The sequence below is a fragment of the Homo sapiens genome, chromosome 13, assembly GCF_000001405.40.
Source record: "Homo sapiens chromosome 13, GRCh38.p14 Primary Assembly".
In the NCBI taxonomy this organism is placed as follows: Eukaryota; Metazoa; Chordata; class Mammalia; order Primates; family Hominidae; genus Homo; species Homo sapiens.
This window is the reverse complement of record NC_000013.11, coordinates 66324369-66349189: the sequence shown is the minus strand read 5'-3', so window position 1 is coordinate 66349189 and position 24821 is coordinate 66324369. Positions and strand designations below refer to the sequence as shown.

The following is a 24821-nucleotide window of genomic DNA, read 5'->3' as shown; positions in this document are numbered from 1 at the left end:
ACTGCCTGCTGGTTGCCACACAATGAGGTAATGAAGTGTTTTCTTCATGCCAGCAGGCCTCTAGACCCTTGTTTGTCAAACTCTCAGTAATTCAGAATTGCACCACTGCAGTTTCTGATTGAGGATGTTTGGTTTGAGTCCAGAAATCTATTTTCTAGATACTTCTAATGTGCAGATATGTCTGGTGACTATTTTTGGCATCTCATTTATATCTGAATTATGTGTGTACACAGCTTAAATCCTAGGCTAAAATTCCCACGACACAAGGGAAGGGAAAGGTTACAAGTGTGATAAGGGGTATGAGTATTATACAGAGGAAGAACAACATGGTTTTCAGAAAATAAAATACAATTTGTTGAACATAAAAGTCAAATGTGACCTTGAAAAAATAATTTCAGTCAAGAAGTAGGTACTGATTGCAAAGATTTTAAGGGTGATGAGCAAGTAGAATCTATCAGGTGTTAAGCTATTAACCATTAGAGAAACTTGGCAGCAAAAAAAAAAAAAAAAAAAATGGCAAATAGCACTATACAAGCACTTGAGAAATATGGCAATAGGTTAGAAGAGAAAGTTTCTTTTTGAGACCAGCCTGACCAACATGTCAAAACCTTGTCTGTAGTGAAAATTAGCCAGGTGTGGTGGCGGGTGCCTGTAATCCCAGCTACTCAGGAGGCTGAGGCAGGAGAATCGCTTGAATCCCGGAAGTGGAAGTTGCAGTGAGCTGAGATCGCTCCACTGCACTCCAGCCTGGGTGACAGGCTGAGACTCTGTCTCAAAAAAAAAAAAAAGAAAAGAAAATGTTACTTTTTGTTGTTGAAATTTTTTTCTTGTTTATGACATGGGGCAGTTATTGAACATTTCTATGGTAGAAGTAGTCTGAAGACAGGGAATGTTGAATGGAAGTGTGTGTCTGCATGGTGGCAGGGATTGGGGGTGAAGAGTGACAATTTACTGATCCAGATGCAGGTAAGCTGGTAAGCCTAGAAGACCCCAGAAATGTGACAGAAAAGAGGGTAAAACAAAACAGGGAAAAGATTGGGAGGAAAGTGGGAGATGGAAAAAGGAAAAAGATCATTTCTGAGAGACTAATAAGAAAAAAGGAATGAATGTGAAGAAGAGATAAAGAAAATTAGAACCTCAGTAGTCTGAGTTAAATATCAGGTGATACCATTCTCCAAGAATGAGGTGATTAGGACTGAACTGAGGCCTGAAGAAAGGCTGCTATTTGAATTGTCCTGTGACTCAGTAAGTGATGATTAAAGGAATTGTTGAATAGCAGCTCGAGTGGAGGTAAGGTCAAACAGCACAGATTTGTAGAAGAGCATGTCAACTCCAGTGTCTGAATTGTTCCAGCAATAGCTCGCAGCTCAGGAGAGAAGTAAAGAAAGCAGATGGGGAGAGGCTTTTTCCACCTGGACAATTAGCCAAATGGACACAGCTGAAGGTCGGCAGAGCTAGGCTTACAGGTGCTTGCAGGACCATCTAAAATGGCTGACCATGGGTCAAGGCTGGGCAGGAGGGCCGGTAAGGCTGAAGAGAGGTTAATGAACCAGGGACTAGGAAGTGACTAAGGTACTACAGATCTCAATTAGGATGACAAATACATTCAGTAGGCACAAGAAAGAAGACATGATGAATTTTGTTTGTAGATAATTTCTGAAGTGATGTTTTTTGGGAAGTGGTGCAAAAAAATAATGTTTTTTGTTTGTTTTTGTTTTTTTTCCGAGTGATAGAATCATTTCTTCCTAATCTGACATTTGTTTTGGTTCCTAATTTGCAGTCTCCACCATAGCCTAAGGCCTGAAATATTTATACATTTTAAGTACACTGAATGATAAGGGAATTATAACTGTTAAAGACATTTTTTTCCATCTAAACAAAATGACTCACTAAAACTATTAAAATTCAAGATGTAAATGCAATATACTAGTGCATTCTATTTGCGTATTACATATGTTCAGAAACATGAATACATTAAAATGTGCTTGGTATGCAATTGAACCAGAGTTTTAATATATTTTTCTTTGGAGACATTCTTAAATTTTCCATGCCAGGTACATTTTATATCAGTGTATAAAATTTATATAGCTAGCTGTAACTTATAATTGTAATACATAGTACTTGTTTCATTATAAAAATGTGTTATTTACACACAAAGCCCTTCAGAGCCTGAAAGAGTTAATATATCCCCATAATCTTAAATTGAATACAATGAAGTGACTTTATTGGGGGGAAATTAGCATTTGTATTTCCACTATGGTTGGCTTTTTAAAGGAGTGTTGCTGACTCTTGTGGCTTTATTTAAAATTAATACAAATACTTAGAGTGTTTGTAATTCACAGAGCTGTGAGGGCCCACTGGCATTCATCCGAGCTAATTCCTCATTTGAAGGATGTAAGAAGCCACACCAACACAGGTTAACTGACCCATAGGCAGTTAGAGAAAGAGCCAGTGCTCTCTGGATGATATAGCTCCTGCCCTCTATCTCATCACAGAAGAGATTTTTAAAATAATCCTCCCCAGTTCTGCATTTCCAGAAGTATCCTAGATACCCAGGCTGCTCTACCAGCCATAGGCCATAGAATGGGGGTATTGCAGGAATTGAAGCATTGTGATGGATGGGTTTATACAGCAGTGGCAAACTCTGGTATTGATTCAGAAGGTTTCACTCTCACAAAATAAGCCTCTGCACCTTGCTTTCAAAACTGAGGGAAAAGATGCCAAAGTTGTATCCTAAAAGGTTAGTTATTTCAGCAACCACATTTTCTAAGCTCTCTGCCTGTGCACACACACACACAGCACATGCAGTAGAGATATGTCTGTATGCACACAAATTCCTAGTCAAGAATCAACGTTTCCGTGGTTGTGTGCTCGTCATGGAAGATAACCAAAGATGAGTGATGACAAGAGCCTTGCTTACAATTCTTGCTGTTTGGAGTGTTTGCGAGCAATCAAGAAATGCTTGTTGTTTTGTTCCTACTTCAAGAAAAGGAAAATACTCCATATTAATTAAACACATTTGGCTCGGTGGTGTAAGTGTGACAAACAGAGATGTGCCAAACTGCCTGAATATAATTTGGGTCGTGAGCAAATCACTGCGCCTGCCAGTTTGCAGACAATTCCTAGTCTTTGTGGTCTGTCACATCTCTTTTCCATTAGCTATTTACCATCTGACGAGGAAAAGAGTACACTAATTTATTTCTTGGAAAAAGATATCCTGTTTTATTGACGGCTTTTCCCCTATACGCTTATTGTGTGGTGTACACTTCAATGCCTTTGCAAATTGCTCACTGGGGTCTTTTCCTCAAACAGGGAGTGTTATTGTAAAAGAGATGGAAAATACTTTTTAAAGTCAGCCTGTTCTGCTTTATCCTGATGACATGACAATTGTTTTTAGATTAGCTCATACGCAGGGTACGCTTCAAGACACCTGAAGGAGTACTTACAATGGTGGACATGGCGCATCTCTGGATTGGACAGCAGGCAGCTTTCTTGCTCTGTGAACGAGGTCCAAATCAACCTTATGCTCCTTAGTTTACAGGAAATTCAGGGGAAACCTTTTATTTACAAACAAGGAATACTTGCCAAGATGGAATAAAAAGGCAACTGATTAATCAGCATGCCGCCTTCATCTTGAAGGGCCTCGTTGCCTGGCCCTTTTGAATGTTCAGGAGATTGGCCTTGTGTGAGAGGGATGTACTGTGGAAATGCCTTTGATAGCTCAGTGATTGAGTCTGTCATGCTTTGGAAAGGGACAGGACTTGGTTTAAACAACCCTGCCTGATAAAACACAGTGTGCATGGCTGGAAAAAAAAATTACCTCATTATAGCTCAGTGCTGTTGCCCTTTGGAGTAAAATGAGAGAAAAGCTTGCTCTGGTACTTCTGCTGATAAAATTCACTTTCTGGAGCACAACCAAATCCCAGCATATATCATCTGAGAGAAATAAAGCAGTCAAAAAATTGTATTCCTAAATAGGCCTGGAACATCTTGGCAACTGCTAAAGCAACACAAAATAAGGAACACTGCCCTACTAGCTCGACCCTTAAATTATGCAGCTGTTCATTACCCGAATTATACATCTCAGGCTGCCCTTTGGAAAAAGGCATGGAGCACAGAGCTGGAACAATCCCTGAGTTATAGTACAATAAGAAAGACCTCCTAAAGTGTCACATGCATGTAGTGGAAGATAAGAAAGCCCAGCTTAAGTTCCTGGCATTTTAAAGAAGGCAATCAAGAAAGCCTTTGAATTCCTTAGTTTTCTTTCCCTGCAATTAATTTGCATTTTTATGTTAGTTAGACAAAGCATCCCATTCATGTGTCAGCAGTCCTGTGTCAGTCTTCTCTGGAGACGTGCATGTGTGTTTTGGTTTAAGCTGCACCGTATTTACAGAGGGACCCTTAAGAAACATTAATAACAGCAGCAGCAGGCCTACAACATTTAGAGAATTGGTAATGAGAATATTTAGTATCTCAGAAATAAAGGCATCATAAAAATAAAGCCATTATATAGCTAAAGGGAAGGACTCTAAAATTAATTTTACCCCTTGTATTGGATTTTACATTTTGGTAAAAAGTGAAACATATTGCCCTAGTTAACTTGAGACTTGGGTAGCACATTTGATTTATTTTGTTATGGTAAGACTCATACTTTTTCATTATCCAATATATACCAGCAATACTTACATTGCATCCAGCTGGTTGTACTAATATGTCAATGTGCATTTGGACCACTGTCAGGTGAAGAGTTAAAAATACTTTATTGGCCGGGCATGGTAGCTTATGCCTGTAATCCCAGCACTTTGGGAGGCAGAGATGGGTGGATCACCTGAGGTCAGGAGTTCCAGACCAGCCTGACCAACATGGTGAAACCCCATCTCTACTAAATACAAAAAATTAGCTGGGCGTGGTCCCAGCTACTTGGGAGGCTGAGGCAGGAGAATCACTTGAACCTGGGAGGCGGAGGTTGCAGTGAGCTGAGATTGTGCCACTGCACTCTAGCCTGGGCAACAAGAGCAAAACTCCACCTCAAAAACAAACAAAAACAAAAAAAACCCCAAAACTTTCTTTTTCATTAGTATGCAATATTTTGGACAATATTAATGAGGATACTTACACTTTCTATCAGATTTTTTACTTACATTAAATGGCCAAATTAACTTTTTAAACATTTCCTTTTCTAAGGGATACTTTGACAAATGATGTGACATGTTCCTGCATGAAACAAATAATTAAAGATTATGAGTGAGAGCTGAACAATATATTAGGCAAAATTGAGATGATTTCAAAGCTTATTTTTGGTCCCCCTCCAGTCTAATTTCTCTGGGCTCATTTACCATCCTCAGCCCTTTCCAAATCTAAAGCAGTAGGCAATGCCCCCCGTTCCCACAGCGATGTTCATGTCCTAACTCCTGCAACTAGAGGATATGTCAGTTGACATGACCAATAAGACCTTGCAGATGTAATTGGATGTTAAAATGCAGAGATTTGCCTAGACTGTCCAGGTGGACCCAGTCTAATCATGTGAGCACTTAGTCACGTGAGTGCTTACACGCAGATATATTTCTCCAGCTAGGGACAGAAAATGTAGGATAAAAGGGGAAGTCAGAGAGATTCAAAGTGAGACGGGCTCCCTTGTTGTTGCTGGTTTGAAGTGGGAGGTGCCAATGTGTTGAGGAATGTAGGAGACCTTAAGATGACGAGCTTGGTTCCCAGCTGACAGCCAACAAGAGCAAGGAAACAGGGACCTCAGCCTTACAAACACTAAAGTCGGACGACAGTTTGAATATGCTGATAAGCAGATTTATCTCCAGAACCTCTAGAAAGGAATGCACTGCTGCCAATACCTTGATTCTGTATTTCCGAGACTCTCAGCAGAGGACTCAACAGGGTCACTCTGTACCAGACTTGTGACCTATAGAATTGTGACATGATAAATGGATGTTCTTAAGCCACTCAATTTGGGAGTAATTTGTTACATTAGCAACAGAAAATTAATATACCTATCCTCCAGTATTCTTTCAGAAGTTTACTCTTCCTGAGAACATCTGCATTGTAACTATTATTTTTATTGATGGAATTAAATATATGTCCCCAGCTACAGCAATTACAGATACCAGTGAAGTTGTTGTGGGTTGGTTGTTTTTTGCTTGTTTATTTGGGGAGTGGAAATGAAAAGGGATCTCTGTTTACCAAAAATAGCATGTCAGAAGGTTGTAGAGTCTAATAATGAAAAGGACTCTGGGGCTGAGCACGGTGGCTTACGCCTGTAATCCTAGAACTTTGGGAGGATGAGGTGGGCGGATTGTCCAAGCTCAGGAGTTCGAGGCCAGCCTGGGCAACACGGTGAAAACTCATCTCTAATAAATAAATAAATAAATAAATAAATAAATACAATAAATAAATACAATAAATCAGCCGGATGTGGTGGCGGGAGCCTGTAATCCCAGCTACTCGGGAAGCTGAGAAGGGAGAATCGCTCAAACCTGGGAGGCGGAGGTTGTTGTGCCACTGCAGTTCAGCCTGGGTGACAGAGAGAGACTCCGTCTCAAAAAGAAAAACCATAAGAGAAAGAAAAGGACTCTGGAGACAGACTGAAAGGGTTTGCATCCTGAATGTATCATGTAGGATCTGTTTAACCTCAGTCAAGTTTCATAAACTTTCTCTGCCTCACTTTCTTTATTGGTAAAAGGAGAATATTAATAGTAACTATCCTGTTATAAGGAGTAAATTCCTCAATACATGTAATGTCTGGCATATAGTAAACGGTTTATAACCATAAATTATTTTGATGATTATTATAGTTGCCCATCTTTATAGTTGTAAAACGCATTTAGCTATTTTCATAGGAAATCTATTTTAAAAGCAAGTTGTTGTGTTTTATTAATTTTGAGTATGTTTAAAAATGAAATAGTAGCAATTCTCACACTTAAAATTTTGCAACAGCTGCTATTTCTTTTAACATTGAAACATGTTCTTAAGTGATGACTCAACTTTTTTGTGGCAACTGCTCCACATTATGGATGTTTTAAAATTATATGTTCAGATTCATTTTAATTCCAGTGACGTAAGAGATAACAGTTTTAATAAAAGTTCTTTCCTATTCAGAAATAATGATGTCAAGTTTCTCTCTTTGAACTTATGAAAACATGAATGCTCAGTCCCCACCCAGCCCACAGCAGAAGAGGCAAGACTTCTCTTTTCCATCTGTTCACTTTTCTGAGACTTCAATCTAAGTGAGGTGGACACTTGCCCTGTTATAGCTTGCAGCCCATATAGCTGCTAGCAAAGTGCACGTAAGTACACACTTCAAGTGTGCATATTTACATCTCCCTTGAGCGCAGTGAGACACAAGCTCTCCTCCAGTCTGCCTCTGTTCTGCCCTGACCATGGCCTCGTTCTGGAGATTTATGCCCATTGCTATACAAAAGTCCTGTGCCTGTTAGTACAGGATTAGTTCTAGCAAACCAGCTCAGTGCAAGTGTACACCTTATACCCCAGAATACACCTAGATATAAGACGTTTGTTTTGTCTCTGGGTCACTTGCACAGCAGAAAAACCAACAGAATCATTAATTAGGTCGGTGTTTCTCTAGCTCTAATGTGCATAGGAATCACTTGTGGATTTGTTAAAATGCGGGTTCAGATTCAGGAGATCTGAGGTGGGGGCTGGGCTAAGACTTGACATTTCTAACAACCTATTGGGTGACACCGCTGCCACAGCTCCTTGTGGCACAGTTTGCATAGCCAAAACCTAGAGCAGCATTTAAAAGCAAGTATCTTCTTTTAAAGCAAGTTGGCCAGGCATGGTGGCTCATGCTTGTAATTCCAGCACTTTGAGTGGCCAGCGCAGGAGGATTGCTTGAGCTCAGGAGTTTGAGAGCAGCCTGGGTAACAAAGTGAGACCTGGTCTCTACAAAAAAACTAAAACATTAGCTGGCTGAGGTGATGCGTGATTGTAGTCCCAGCTACGGGGGATGCTGAGGTGGGAGGATTGCTTGAGCCCAGGAGAGTTCAGGCTTCAGTGAGTCATGAGTGAGACTGTGTCTCAAAAAAAGTAAATAAATAAAATAAAAAATAAATAAAATAAAGCAAGTCATTTTCATTTATGAGTAAGTGACAATACATTTTACTTTGCACTCTAAATACTTAAACATTTCATAGTACCTGAATTTTACTATAGGAATATAGATTCAGTGTCTGACTTTTATGTAAGGGCAATGGTAATCAAGATAAAGGCTTCTATGTTAAATAATTTCCCCCTGAAATAAAGGTATAAACCCTACAGAGAATTGAGATTTGCACTTTAGTGTTAAGGCATTCAGAAAATCTACTAATACAATAATTTCTAGTAATTCAGATTTTGTAAAAGAAAGAAATGTCTGTTTACCTATGACCTACTTGTCATACGTTGGATCATCACACAGGTAGGCGATCTGAGCAGAACACCTCACCTCTTTGTATAATGGAGAATCAGATAGTGCCTGTGGCTAGAGTTTTTATGTAAGGATTAAATGAATTAACCATGGAAATAACTTAAACAGAAAGCTTAGATTAAAAAGAATAAAGTCTTTTCAAGCAAGTCAGCATGTGAAGTGTGAAGTGGCACATATTTGGCAGATCCTTTTTGAAGAACATCTTTGAGAGGGTTTAGCTGTCACTGTTGAGTCTCCATTCTATGGGCATAGCTGAAATGTGAAAGGAACTCAGTTTTGTTTGCGATTAAAAATCTACATCTAGTCCTTCCAGCATTACATATTGCCCAAATTCATTTAAGCCCATTAGTTTGGGGCAATAAAAAGCCATGTAGTAGAAAAGTGTCACCATGAAAACTATCCCTTCAAGAAAAAATTTTAGGTTCTTTTGTGCCTCCCAAATCTACCTTTCTCTTAGCTGAGGAAAATTGCTAGCCTCAGACTAGTTGAGGACAAAAAACGATAAGCTCCTCAGGACTTTTCAAACATGAGTTGTTTCTTATCTCTTGCCAAATGAATTTTGGTTTCACCATATAAACAGTTTAATTTGAAATATTTGAAAATAATATTCTGCCATTACATTATTTATTTACTTGAATGGCTAGAAATATGTAATTACTCTGGATTTTTTAATTGAGGAAAACAATGGTTAACTTTTGGTTTGAGAAACCTCATGTTTATCATTCTCCCCAAGTATAGTTGCACAGGGAAGACAAAGGAGGAAGTTCATGTCAGTAAGTTGCTAAGCCTGAGGAACAATAGATTTTTAAGAGGTGTTGAGGGATTCAGCTTCAAAGAGAACCAAAATTATGTGCCTAGAGAAACAAAAACTGAATAAAGGGCATTTCTGATATGATAGAAGTGGTGAAGAAAACCAAAGAAGTGAACTAGAAGAAGCCACAGGTTGCTATACTATTCCCTTTTTTAAAAAGTGCCTCCAAAGTGTGGATAGAGCTACTTTTTCATTCTGCTATTTGACTGAACCACAAATGCATGTTCAAAAAGATTAAAATTAAAAAGAAAAATGAATAGATGCATTTTGTCTATTTCCTAATGTAAAATAAAGCAATTGCATACACATTGCAAAAAAACATAATCATGGCACAGTGTATTTGCTTAGCAATGCTATTCTGAATGTTTTATTATATTCTAGAAATACTATCTTAATAGTTTTCAACAAAATATCTGTGATGTAAAGAAACAAGTAAAAGTATGTCTTTGATAAAAAGATGAATTACTAATGTAGTCAGAATGCCAGAGGAATGTGGTTCTCTCTAAAACTTAGGTTAATCAAAAGAGGTGTAGAAAGACTTCCTTTAGGTTCACCCACACCCCCCCAACACACATCTCTCACAATAAATTATGCTGAGAAGAGAAAGGGCTCATCTGCCATTGAGTGTAATGTCTTAAAAATGGGTATTCTCCTATTTAAGAATACTGATAATTAAGTTTAAAAAATAAAGTAATACTGTTTTTTTGTTGTTGTTGTTCTCATTACTACAGACAATAAAAATGAATACCTTACTAGGTTTGTTTCAACTCACCTGTGATCATAAAAGCTACAACTGTGGCCACGCTGAGGGTTGAAGTTACGTTTTCTCTCTTCTGGTCTAATATAGTTTCAGACAGTTGCATATATGAAAAACTCGTCTCCTGAAACTAAAGGATGTGCATGTTTTTGGTAAAGGTTTTCATTAATAATCTCAAATCATACACTGCCAAGAATCTGCCACTGTTTCAATTTATGGTTATTTGGAGTTCTCGTGTTTTTCTGCCAATGTGAAAATTGGTTTTGTGGAATTGTTTATTGCTGCTTCTTTACTTCTTTTTTTTTCTCTTCTACCAAGAGAATACTTCATCTCTGCAGAAGCAATGGAAGCCTAAAAGGATAGAACGTTTTCATGTCAGAAAAATTAAAGTCATAAAGGAGATAGATTTCTAGAATTAAATTAGAATTGAACAAGTCAGTTATGTGTACATCCATCAGCCCAGTGGTCAGGATCTCATCTCCACTGAAACAAACTTAGCTAGAAGGCAGATAGAATTTCTCACACAGAACCACCCCCCACCCCTCTACACACACACACTTTTCACAATAAATTATGCTGAGAAGAGAAAGGGTTCATCTGCCATTGAGTGTAATGTCTTAAAAATAGATATTCTCTTATTTTAAAATACTGTTAATTAAATTTATAAAGTAAATCATTATGAAACCAAATATTAAAAAGCTTCAGAAAATATTTACTTTCAGACCCAGAATATAACTTTGATGCTGTTTCTATCATTTCTTGCCATCATAAAATTTGTAAAACCTCTCATTTTAATTATTAGTTATCAAAAAAAGTTAAATTAATACTCACTAGGGATACTAAGCTAAATTATGTTTTGAACACTTCAAGCTCATGTTCCAGTGCACATGATTCAGGAAGGATTGTTGTAATATAGACATAAGAAAGACAGGTGTTAGGGAGGCAGAAAAGAGAGGAAAAAGAAAGAGCGGGAATGTGTTAATTGGACACCTATGTTCTGTGTACTACTGTGTGCTATGCTACATGATTTCGTTCATGTGTTTTAAGAAGCTTTGCAATTTTGAGAGGTAGACATTACCATCCTAATGTATGAATATGAAAACTGAGGTTTTGGCTGCCTAATTAACTTCCTAAAGTCACAAGGCTCACATGTAAAATATACAGTTATCTGGAGCCAGGTCCATCTGATCTCAATGGAGAAGAGAAGCTTGTTCCCTGATTGTGGGCATTCCCTTTATCCACCCTCATTGTAGTGTATGTTATTCAACACTGTTGCCATATTCTTAGTGGTATTTTGAGCTTCTAAAATCAGGAGCACAGATTTGTCTTCCAACATCAGGCTAAAAATGCATTCAATTAAATTTCTCCTCATTTGAAACAAATGTTTCTTAAATAAACACGAGATCTCATTGTCCTTTTATTTACTTTGTGTAGTGGCTATGACTATAACCTCAAAGTCTCCTAGTACAGTTTAAAATATCCTTAAATTACTTAAGATGTCCTTGTCCTAGACTCAGAAATAAAAGTTATTATCAGACATTAATAGCCAAGGAGTCTGTATTTCTGTTTGTTTGTTTGTTTGTTTGTTTTAACAAGTACCTCCAGATGAGTTTGCATCCCATGAAGACAGGTGGAAATACTGGAAATACAGAATGACAGGATTGCAATTCAATAGTGCAAGTCTTGGGATTAACCAGTTTTGAGACAAGATGTAATCATTAAAAGCCAGACATTCTACTCTCATACCTCAATCACCAAGGGCCTTCCAGAATGCAGAACTCTTAGGTCTTTTGGGTGAATCACTTACCTAGTTTTTCAAAGAAGAGTTATCCTTTATTTATGTGTTTGCATTTATCTCCAAAGACCAAATAAAATATCAGGGAATAATTTTCAGGGCAATCTTGTTGATAAATATATATATAAATTGAATGGAAAGTTTTATAATTATTATTGAGCCTAATTTTGACCTCATGTTATTTTTAGTATTTTTAATAAAGTGGTTTTATATTTGATATTGGGAATATACCAAATATTGCTTTTACTGTTATTATATTCCTATAGTGCTTTTATAAGCAAACTCATCACACCATCTACTTAGTATCTGATGTTAATTTATATTCAAATGATCTTCAAATTTATTTTAGGGAAAGAAACATTCCCTAAGGGAAAGAAAAAAAATTATTATAAGGACAAAATTGTCTAATTATTTAACAGTATCTTCTATAACTGCAAAAGAGAATTTTGTTACTTTTAACTTCAGTTTTTTAAAGAAATGTCTAGGTAGCTTGCATATAATATAATGCATTTAATCCAACTGCCTATATTTACTTGCTTAAAAATAGAGTATTTGGAATTAGGAGGAAGATGCTTCTGGGCTGAGGTTGATAAAACAACCAAAAAATAGTTTCTATGCTGACTTCTCTATTAGGATAAACAAAGAAAATGATGTTAAAGAGCCACAGATTACCAACATGCATCTTATTATTCAAAACCTAGAAAACTATGAATTATTAAACTTAACTTCAACCTAATTATATCCACATAGCAAACTCATTTATTGTCCTCTTCATAAACCTACAATAAAATTAAACTATTTTTCTTTATAGAGGGTCCATCAAAGGTTATTTGGCATTTTTAAAAGCATCCATAGGCTATTTTATATTAACATATATCTCTTCTTTGTAAATTTATAATAAACTTTTAATTCCAAAATCTCTATTAAAATCATTGAGATAGCTTTGTTATTTTTAGAGGGTGACATCATCTCTCTAATTCAGTTTGAACAGCTCTGAAGTATATAACATAGGATACATCAGGTCTCTATTGTGATTTTGCATTTAGCACCAAATCTTACCCACTTCTGACCATCCAAACATGTATTCTCAGCGGGTACAGTACTGTGGATTTTGTAAATTAAAAAAAAAAAAATCCTGCAAAGCCTTTAAGCGGAGTATTGAAATGTAGGACAAATTGTTGCTTGTATATACTTTTTAACACTTACATTGACAAAGTCAACAAGATCTCCAGTAGTCCTATCACTCCTGTGCATAGGGAGTGGATTCCTATAGAGTCCTCAGATGGGGCCTTTCATATCTCATTTATTTGGAAGGTTTCTCTTTCCATTATGTACCCATTACCACACATGACTGCTTATCTTTAGAAGGGGCCACAGTCCAGAGGATGTTGGGGAATGGAGTTAGACAATCTATTCTCACAGGTTTTCCAGTGTGTGCTCTGCCAAAAGCCAGATTATTGCTAGACCAGTCTTGTGCGGCAAAGCTTACTTGACATTGACAATACGGGCCTCCGGAAACCATGCTCTCAAATACAGTAGACACCCCCGTGTACTTTATACTAATATGTTACTGGTTTATGAAGAAAATAGTCAAGTTCCTCTTATTTATTGTTAAAAATCATTAAATAAAAACTGTCAAGAAGAAAAGCTGTAGAGTCAAACCACATTTCACAGTAACACAATATTTCATCCTGCCTACCACTGTGGCTATAAGTTTTGAAATCAGACAACTCTTGGTTTAAATCCTTTCATGCCCACTTATTAGCTCCGTTCTTTTATACAAATTAATGTTTCTGATTTTCCATTTATTCTTTGCCAAAATAAGAATAAAAAGACCTACCTCTCAAGGTTATTAAGAATTACATAAGATAATGTGTATCTGATATTTGGCATGGTCCCTGGTATATAAGTACTGCAAAAATGTTAGCATTTTTTGTTTGTTCATTTAATTCGTTTTATGTTGGTGTTGGTTGTGAGTGTTGCTGTTATTATCTAAACAAGCTAACAAGCTACGAAATACCTAAATATTATTAAGCATGTAGAAAATGTCAGAGCAAGCTCGATTTTAAGAGGAGATAAGTAGGAGAGGACACAATTCTCAAAAATCAAATGAAAAAATAACATTAGGATCTAGAAATGTTGTACTTCAGCGTAAGTAGAGGTTGAGTTTGCTTATTGGGTAAGGATGACTACCTAGTGCTTTCTTTTATATGTCCTGCTGGGCTAGCAAATAATAACACCCTGAAGCAAATAGTAAGGATTTCTGTAGTGTATGCTTTTGACTTAGGCTACTGTGATGTGATGAAAACACCAAGGGTTTGAAGGCTATTTAGATGAATTGCAGTCCTAACTATGCCACACATTGTTTTATGAAGCTTTGGGCAAGATTCATGTTTTCTTTCATCACCTATTGAATAGATAGGTATAGAAATACCTATTTTGGGGGAGTAAAACTAAATAATATGAAATTAATGAATAAAAATATGCTGTAAAATATTACATGATTATATGGGGTAGCTTGTAATATACAATTACAGGTTCAAATATAAAAGTTCATGCCTTTATCTGATCTTTATAAGATATGAATCAAAAGAAATTTTTTTTGTTGTGAAGCTAATATAATTTTGTGCCCTGAGTCACCAATATTCCACCAATAAGCATGAAAAGTAAGTTAAAAAGAAAAATTAGTTGTATGGTATGACCTGACAAGAAAACTTTTTTTTTAGTAGTAAAGACATACTTATTGTAAGAGTTAGTATTAGATTTTCCAGAGAAACAGAAAAAGAGAGATTTAAAAATTGGGCTCACATTGTTGTGGAGGCTGGCAAGTCCAAACTTTGTATGGAAGGAGGGCAGGCTGGAGAGAAGAGTTGATGTTGCATTCTGGAGGCAAAATTTCCCTTTCTGTTGGGGGTCTCCATCATTCATTCTCTTAAAAAACTTCAACCTGATGGTTTGAAGACCAACACACACATTATGGAGGTGTTTTCTTTATTTAAAAGTCTACTGATTTATCAGCCATAAAAAAGAATGAAATCCTGTCATTTGCAGCAACATCAATGTGCCCTTATTTTAAGTGACATGAGCAGACAGAAAGCCAAATATCACATGTTCTCACTCATATGCGGGAGATTAAAAGGTTGGTATCATAAAGGCAGAGTGCAGAATGGTGGTTACCAGAGGCTGGGAAGGGTAGTGGGGTGGAGGGATGAAGAGAGGTTGGTTAATGGGTTAAAGAAACACAGTTTGATAGAAGAAATAAGTAGTATGTGTTTGATAGCACAGTAGAGCGACTGTAGTTAACAATAAAGCATATTTCAAAATAGCTAGAAGAGAATATTTGGAATGTTCTCAACACAAAGAAATGATAAATGTTCCAGTGAGAGTATCTTAATTACCCAGATTTGATCATTACACATTGTATGCATGTATCAAAATATCACATGTATAATTATTATGTATCAGTAAGAGTGTACTGATTTAAAGGTTAATTTCATCTGAAAAATACCTTCACAGGGACCTTTATGTTGATGACTGACCAAATATCTGGATCCCATGGCCTAACAAGTTGACATAGAACATTAACCATCACAGGGTCACATACATTTTTTACAGAATTGAACTTAAATCATTCTGTTAGTAATATATACTTTAAGCATCAAAGCAAACATGCTTAAACAAATATTTTCTTCATGCTTATTCTAATCAACAAAAATAACCCTTCAAAACTTTTTTCTGAAAGAAGTCTGCTTAAGTTTTCCTGTTTCCATTTCAAACCTGTAATTTTTATACAAAAGAAAAAGAGAAACAAAATGAAAAATAAAGATCTTCGTTCTTAAGTCATTCTATTTTAAAATTTCTATCTAAAGTAATTTTTATCCTTCACAGAGGTAGCTGGTCCTTGGGGACCCACTGTTTACTACAAGACAGAGAAGAAAGCATGTTGTCAAGGGACAGCGGCTTGAGGCTGGATTGTGCAGAACATGGCACCCCTGCTGGTCTAGCCTTCATACAGGGTGCCTAGTCCATCATTTCTACCTCAGTGCTATACTGGTGTAGCAAAGGGAATTTCAGATTTCTGATGTCTCATGCAGTTAATGTCTGGGAGCAGGTTAAAAATAAAATCTCCATCGTATCCTTTGACAACTATTCTGAGACTACTACATTATTCTTGTTCCTTCAAATCTACACATACTACTTGCTTATTTCTCTTACCTTAGATAAAAGCTCCTCATTCTTGTCTTTTTACATTTTACCTTGCATTTGACATGGGCTAGTAAGAAAGTCTTCCTTGCAATGGGAATTCAGTATGTTTTCAATTCTATCATAATTAAAAGTCTTTGCAGTTGTAAATGCCACCTTTAGGTTAAATATAAACCAAGCATCTGTCAGCATCAATGTAAGAGAGCAAATAATGCCTTAAATGCTAAGAGAGTAAAACTCAAACTGCATTGAAATGAGCTTGTCATCTCAATGAACATTCATAAACACATCCCTGTTTAGTTCTGTGAAAGAGTAGAATTAATAAGTACATATATTTTCACATAGTGATTTTATATATATATATATACATATATATATATGCCTTTCTTTAGAGTTGTGCTAAACAGTGTGATTTTTCTAATGCACACTGCTCTGTCCCCTTCTCCTCTGGTTCCTGTTGCCCAGAATGTCCTTCCTGTGGAATAGATCCCAGGAGTCATCTCTCCTAGGAAGCTTTCTGTGACCACCCCTCCTCTGAGAGGCTAGACCTCAGTGCTTTTAGAGCACATGAGTATCTCCCTGTCATAGCATTTTCACCTTCTCTATTGACTTGTGTGCCTCATCCATGAGACTTAAGTGTTCCTTAAAGGTCTTTGTTTCCCTAGAGACCAGCACTGCAGTCTGTAGAATCAGTATTTATTTGTTGAGCCAGTGAACTACCAAAAAGTAATAGGTCAGTGAAAAACTGGTGAGCTCCATTGATTCAATAATTAGAACTGTGTAGATTGTATTAATGAAAGGGCTTGGTAACATTCTCTTTCGACAAAATGAAGATTATCATGGACAACAGTGGCTTGTTCAGAGCTGATTGAAGACCTCATTCTAACATGGTGTATGCTCTCTGGCATACACCTTACTTCTTGTTTCTGGTTGTCTCCATCTCCTTTGAATGGGCACAGCAGCATTGCTTCATAGTGGAAAGTTACTTAGCACTTCTAAATGCCTCAGAAGTTTGGAAGGAAATTCTTTCCTAGGTAAGCCAAGGAGCGTGGAGAGCCTTTGAATCCTCATCTTAGTGGGGCCACTGAGAGCAGCCTTCTCTTTGCTTTTTAGCAAACACCTGCTGGCAACCTTGAGTCGCTGTCATCTCCCTGACTGCACTCTCTTCCTTTGCTTTATAACATTTATCACAATCTGCAGTTACTTTAAGTCAGCATTTGGTTATTTCACTGCAGGACTACCAAAGAGGCAACATACAGAATCCTACCTTCAGTACCCTCTCTCCATTTTCATTTAATCATTCTGTAGCCTATCTCCTAAATAAACATAGAAGTTAAATAAATACATTGTGCTTCAGGTAAAGTCTCATAGCTTTCTTGCCAAGGAACTTGTTGTTCCTAAGTTCTGAGACAGAGCAAGTATGAATGGTCTACTCATTTATTGCCACTAAAGTGTAACCCTCAAGGGGATACTCTGTCTTGTTCCTAGTTGTATTCCTTATACCTAGCAGAGTAACTGAAACAACCAGAGGATCAATAAAGATTTGCAGAAAAATAAACCTTCTGCTAATTCATTTGGGTTGATCAGTTTCAATAATTTTTCTCATTAAGTCATAAAACATTTTGGGCCATTTTATATTACTTAAAAATTTATTTCACCAAATCCTCAGAGAAGTTTTGATCACTTATATGATAATTCCTTAATGCACGTGGATAGGCCCAATGAGAAATTTCAGCAAGTGTTAATTCAAATAAAGAGATGTATTGTAACCATTTACTTCTCCTCTGGCGCTCATGAAGTTCGGGGCCAGAGGGCTCCCATAATAATATTTCAGTATGTGTTGGCCAACCTTCATCTCATTCATTTATAGATTTGCCAAGACTGGATTTTTCCCAGTAACAATGAGACATGACTGTAATTTGAAAAGTCTCCCCAGTTGTATGGAAACCATGGAGTCTTGTTTGTCTTATATTTTTTATGCAATATAAATTCTTGTTTTAAATAACTGAATATGTTCCAGGATATGCAAACACACATGGATGTACACACACGCAAACACACGCACATACACACAGACATACAAACTTTCTCTTCACAGCACAGTTTAAAAATGTGTCCACGATTTTCTGAGACTCATTCCACTGACTCCTAATCAGGATCCTTCGAACTATAATTTTCTCTTAAAATGGAGAAGTACATTTGTGAGATATTATCTCAGACATAAATAAAATATCCTGCAACACACATTTATTCTCAACAAATTTCATAGCCTGTCAGATGTGAGCCTAATTTTTTCCAAACAGTATCCTCTTTGCTTAAAATATAGTAGCCAGTTCAGGAAAGATCTTGTGCTAAGGCTGGATGTGATGAATAGAGGCCATTTGTACTTGAACACATAGCATACTGCAGGCATTTGTTTTATGCAGAATTGTATGATTACATGCAAGGTTTCTTTCTTCTCTCAAGTACAAATAAAACAAGGCTTAAAAGCCTGTAAGATCTATATTTTAACTCTACTATACCAGAAAAATTTAAATAATTTTTTTTTTTCTGGAAGTTTGTCCTTGATCTTTTCTTTTAAGGCTGGGCTTTCCCCCACCCCCACACAAATTACATTTTCCTCCTTTCACCTTAGCAGAGAGTAGGGTGGAAAACAAATCCAGCACTGTCAACAAATCTGTCCAGTGGGCTATAGTTGAAGCACAGTAGGTGTTGGCAGAAAGAATAAGAGTCTGAAACATGGTAAATATGCAGCATGGGCAAGTGCTTATGGTGGGTGCTGAATTTGGCCGCAGGACATGCTGAGACAGACACTTGTATAGACAACTGCTTCTAAATATGTCACTGGATCAGCAGGAAACAGAAGATCTCCCCACTTCTACTTTCAATTCTGAAAATGGACCCTATGAGCAATTACTTGGTGAATTAGCAAGCATCCTGAATAAGCAGCCAGTGCCAGGCTATTGGACCAGAGGATTTTAAAGAGCAAAGAAAAACAGGAAGAGACTATCAAAATAAGTACTGAACAGACTTCTATATGATTCATGCCATGTGCAAGTGGCATGTAAGGGAATGAAGTGGTGGAGTGCAATGTTTCTCAGCCAGTCTTGCTGTTGAGCACTTACAAAGTGTTTCTAATCCTCTAATTGGGTTAAATTCATTTAATTAGCACTGAAAAGATGCAGTTTAAGTGCTTAATACAACATTTATATTCAGAACAGCTACCAGATGTTTTTTATTGTAGCTATTGCAAAGTTATGCATTTTTTTTCTAGAAATGCAGTACTTTCTTATAATAAGAAAGACCTGTTTTGCTTCAGTAGATTTTGGCTAAGCTATGAAAGAAAATTCATATATATAGTGCTATCTGTATCATTTTAGAAAGGCCTATTTTTATACTTTCCATTCCGCCTACCTGTGTACAATTACATTTACAAACAAACTTCACAACGCACACATGGAGACACACAAGCACACATTAGTCTATTAAGAGCTGAGAAACAGTAAGGCTGTCTTTGGTTGACAAGGGTTAAAAAGTGAGCCCTGGACATTTTATTAAAAACCCATTCCATGTATTAGCCACAGGGAAAGATGTTAGAGAGCACCATGAGCCATATTGTTCTTCATCAACTGGGGACATTCTCTTTACAGTGCTATACTCTCTCAAGGAAAAAGGAACTTGGAAAAGGTTGAGCATAGATTCCTTAGGGGAACAGGGCTGGGAAATGAGGAGGAAAGATAAGGGGAGGTGGGATAATTAGTTGAAATTATATACTTGAATTGAATCTGCACCTTCAGTGACTGAGCAGCTCCCAGAATCTGTTAATGCTAACTTTTTAAAACATTTATTTTCAGACTGTTTAATCTAATTTTCCTAGATCTCAGTAAAAATCAGAATAATTGTCAAGCATTCAGTGTCTGCCAATCACAGTCATATAGGCAACTGTGGCTGAGGGCTTTGACTCAAAGTTATAGTTATAAAAGCACTGAAATTACAGTTTAGTCTGTAGCAGAACCTACCTTGGTTAAATGATATATGCTGTATGATGTGACTTACTATTTTCTGTCTTCCTCTACTATAACTTTACAAATTCCTAAATTCCTATAGTTAACATAAAGCAAAAATACAGCATTTAACTTAAAGTGTAAATACTTTTTAACTTATTTTCGTGAAAATAAGAAAAGAAAAGGTAAGTGGAATGCTGTTAGAAAATGACATTTTTGAATGATTAAAAACTGACACATTAAAATATTAACTGTAGTTCAGAGACAAAAAGAAGGCTTAAGAATTCCTTCTTTAAGGTAATTTCCAGTTAAAAAATGAATGTTCAGCTCTTAGGGACAGTCTCCAAGAAAATATGCTTTGATATTTCTTTGAAGCTCAATTCAATATCTTTGTCTAAGGGAAAAAAAAATCACTTCTTGACTGGAGAAATCATATTGAAACACTAAAGTGCTTACTCGTGCTGCTGCTGTCAGTCGCACGTGTCACACTTGGTGACTGTCCTCAATCCAGGCAGAAAAACCATTCTCAGTTAACATGGATCAATTGGAAAGAATATAAACCACTCCACTGCCCTTAAGACATACGGACGTCAACTCTCACAAAGGTTGCTTGAGTGCTCAGTAGAAATGAGAGCAGTCTGGGAGGATTCTGCTGTACAAGGAGGCTAGATCATAATACCACCTTGTAAATTTTCTGTATTTTAGATAAAAATAAAATAATGAATAAATAAATAATATGCTAATACCCACCTTAACTATTGTATCCTTTGCAATAAATGATAATATCATACTTCTAAGGCACTTCTTACTTTCCTATTTTTCTTCTGGTGGTGTCAAGGTAATCGTTAGTTTAAATGATGTGAGCCTACTGAATCGGAGCTGAGCCAGTATTATTTGTGTCTGAAAAATATTCCTGGTTTGATTTCTATAATTACAAAAAGAAAGAATAAAAGTAATAAATTATAATAATCTGGTAAAGAATTTTGTTCAATGCTTCAAAATTATTTTGGAGGAATAAAATATTTTTGTCCTTGATGAGAGTAAATCTTTGAAGATTAAAAACTGACTGATGAGTTTTATGCAATAACTAATTATAGATTACCCTGCATCCATTTTGGATACTTAATAGGATCTTTGAAAGGTTAGTGATATTTTATTTATGTTTTCAACATTGATCTTTAATAAGTAACTAAAGGCTTATTAATTAGATGTCAGATTATACCAAATCAGTCCCAAGGATTGTGGAGAAATATAGCTTTAGAGAGATTAAAGACCTAGGCAGGAATAAACAAAATAAGTTCATTCTAGTTTTCACAGCTGGGGAGATACAGTATAAGAATTGGGATGCATTGGTTATACATCCTTCATTTTACTTTATAATGATTATATACAATTTTCACCTAGTACATTTATCCACTTGATTTTTGATGCTCACAAATAGCCTCATAATGCATCAGGTATTATACTTCATAATTTTATAGATATAGAATTTAAAGTGCAGAGAAAATACATAAGACCTCCAATGTCCACTCCTATAATAGCACAGGTATTTGAACTTTGGTGCTCAAAATTGAGTCTAGAGCTCTAACCCACACTGCCTTTCATGAGGATATGTTTTACATACTTACATAGTGCTTATTTTTGTTACTCCTAGGTTAATATTTTTTAAAGAGCGTTAATATGGTACATGTAGGAAAAAGGGAAGACACACAAAGGACATAGTTCTAAACAAAATAATCCCTTTTGCTTCTCAAAGTTCTACACCAAGAGGTCTCCCATTCTCCTATTTATGGAGGTGAGGTCCCCAAACCAAAGTAATTCAAAGTACATTTTGAGAGAGTAGCAGATTGTTACCCTTCTTTCCACCAAATATGGAACTAGATACTGGGGCTTTGTGGTACAGCATGGGGGATTTAGGTTAGCCAAAGCAACAAAAGATCCCTGATATCAAAACTTTAACATGTGTCGATCTGGCAACAGGGTTACTGTGGAGGTTTTTCCTTAGCATCCAAAGCAAACTAACACACAATACATTCTTAGTAATGTGACTTGGTGTATTTACTTCAGAGTTTGATAAGGCTATTTCTAAGGCTTGGTATACAAAAGCGTATTTTAAACTTTGGAAAGATAATTGTATTAAGAAAGACAATTTGGACTGCCTTGGAGAGGTAACAAAATACAGAAAAAAAAAAGAAAAACAAAAAACCCTCATCGTTTGGAGGCAAGAAGCCCAGATTATAAGTATTGTGCTTGTCTGAATGATAAGCAGCAGGTCTGAAACTAAGCCATTGTGCTTAAGTTGGGTGGGGAAGAAGAGGCATTTTGTTTTGTATGTTTAATAGTTTTTTAAACTTAAATTCATACATTTATTTTTATGTAAAAAGCTTAAAAATTGGATAAAATTTCAAGATGTCTTTGGCCTTTTTTCACTCACAGGAATATAATTATCATGAATTAAAATGCATTATGCGACTAGGAGCGGTGGCTCACACCTGTAATCCCAGGTGTGAGGGCTGAGGCAGGTGGATCACCTGAGGCCAGGAGTTGGAGATCAGCCTGGCCAACATGGCAAAACCCGTCTCTAGTGAAAATACAAAAAATCATCCGGGCGTGGTGGCGGGCGCCTGTAGTCCCAGCTACTCGGGAGGCTGAGGCAGGAGAATGGCGTAAACCCGGGAGGCGGAGCTTGCAGTGAGCCGAGATCGCGCCACTGCACTCCAGCCTGGGCGACGGAGCAAGACTCTGGTGTGTTTTTTTTTATTGTTTTCGTTGTTTTTTTTTTTTTTTTAGAAGAAGAAGAAAACACATTACACATCTATGAAATTGTTCTGGTGTCAATGTGTATGTTTATAAAACAATATAAAATACATGACTCCATCTCAAAAGGTTTATAATGGGGAAACATGGAATACTGGGGAGACACAGTCAAGAGAACACTGCTGGGGTTACATATATGTAAGTGAGAAAGGATTGATAATTTGTATCCACCTGTGTCCTGGTTTAAGCCATATAAAGACGTAATCAAGATGGTACAGGAGGAAAATAATTTTGTTGTCCTCGTACTTAGAGCAGACTACTAAAAATGTGAGAAGCCAGAGGTGAGTAAAAACAAGGCGGTTGGAGTTTTCTGGATATGAAACAACCCGAAACTGGATGGAGGTTTGATAGAGTAATGAGAGGAATAATGTACCTGAGACATATAACAAGGGAAAAATAAGCCACACTTCCTGTCAGTTTTCTGAATAGGAGGTGGGAATGATCTGACAATTTTACTTCATTACGATTGTAATGAACCTGTGCTTCAAAGCTATTTAATTCAGTCAAACTCCATAGACACAAGATCACATAGTTAATCTAATTCTGTGACTATTTTTTCTGAGTATCATTTGAAAGTACTTGTATTCACTAATAGCAACCAGAAGCCTTAGCTTTAAAAATTGTGAATAAAATAAGAGTGACCTCCCATTGATGTATGCTTGGATTCAATATATGTACCAGCAACAGCGACCCTATAGAAAATATGTGTGATATGTAAATGCAAGTGCACACGATCATTCTTAAGTACCATTAGTCTAAGTAAATTCTGAAATGATGTACAGGAAGGCATCCTTTATCTCTCTGAAGGCTGGCTTACTTAATAAAAGAAAATCAGAAATTTAACCTTGTCAGCTCTAACTGTGGAATAGGCTGACATAGTTTAACTCTACACAAATGTTATCTCTGCCCTTAAAATTATTTTGGCTTCTAGAAACTTTTCTCCCCCCATCTCATAGGATACAGAAAACTCGTCATAAGTCCTAGAGACATCATGAATGCCTTTTAACCTTAATTCATGGAGCTGGGAAGCAATCAGTTAGAGACCTAAAGACCAGCGCTTATCCTTCTCATCTTAATAGAATAGCTTTCTGAATAACTATTCTCCCTCAGCAAAGACCACAACATCCATCGCTAGAATGAAATGGCAAATATGTTTCATATAAAACTAAAACTAGCTATGGAATTCATTGTAAAAATACACATCAAGTTTGTATTACAGGGACCCCACCTGTTTTGTTGTCCAGAATTTGAGCAGTGTAACAGATTTCTAGTGAAAAATATTGTTTCTATATTATTACTATAATAAATGATATTCTCATGAGTTATAGTGGGTACAATGTTTATAACTTAGTCAAATTTTAGATAGAAATATTTTAGATCTAGATTGCTAGATACTGACATCTAGTATCCCACAATTGAAGTGAGAGATGACAGACGCTCTAAGTTTGCATATGTGTCCAGTTTTACTTGATTTTAGCATGAGTAAAACTTTAAGGTTCTGATGATCAACATGAAAATATTGGTGACAGAACTCTACAGTGGTAAAACTTGGTGAATTATATTAATCTACATGTTTTGAATATTTCCAGATTATAGATGATGTCTTTCTGTGTTTATAAAATTAATTGCTCTGCTTGCTTAGGAAACTAAACTTTCTTTTACACTTCCCCTTGCAATTAGCTTTTCTGTGCCACTCTCACAGTGCCTATTCTACCTTTTCAAATGTTTTATTACATAGAATGGCCAATGGCTGCATTTTCACTTTAGGCTATTGTAATTGGCACATATAGTTTTATTTTATTTTGGTCATGCTTGTTGTAATTACCATTATTCATCTAAAATTAATATTCTCTATCAATAACTGGCAGCAGCATGTGGCCTTGTTTTTGGAATTAGAAGCTCTAAATTCATCCTAGGTCGAAGTAACTTGTGACCTTTAGCAAGTCACTTTATCTCTCTAACCCATTTTTCCTAATGGAAATAATGGGGTTAAGGGGAAT

The 24821-nt window shown here is 36.4% G+C and overlaps 1 protein-coding gene across 5 annotated transcripts in view, besides 1 other annotated feature; it reads left to right on the top strand.

The window, feature by feature from the left end:
• Positions 1-24821, top strand: part of PCDH9 (protocadherin 9) — a 927503-nt gene that overhangs the window by 881147 nt on the left and 21535 nt on the right. The gene's annotated exons all lie outside the window — the stretch shown is intronic.
• Positions 3936-4524: an enhancer, noted in NCBI's record as "NANOG hESC enhancer chr13:66918798-66919386 (GRCh37/hg19 assembly coordinates)". NCBI's record gives its function as "activates a minimal SCP1, AML or CMV promoter by ChIP-STARR-seq in primed H9 embryonic stem cells {active_cell/tissue: H9 hESC(primed)}" and the evidence as "EXISTENCE:reporter gene assay evidence [ECO:0000049][PMID:30033119]".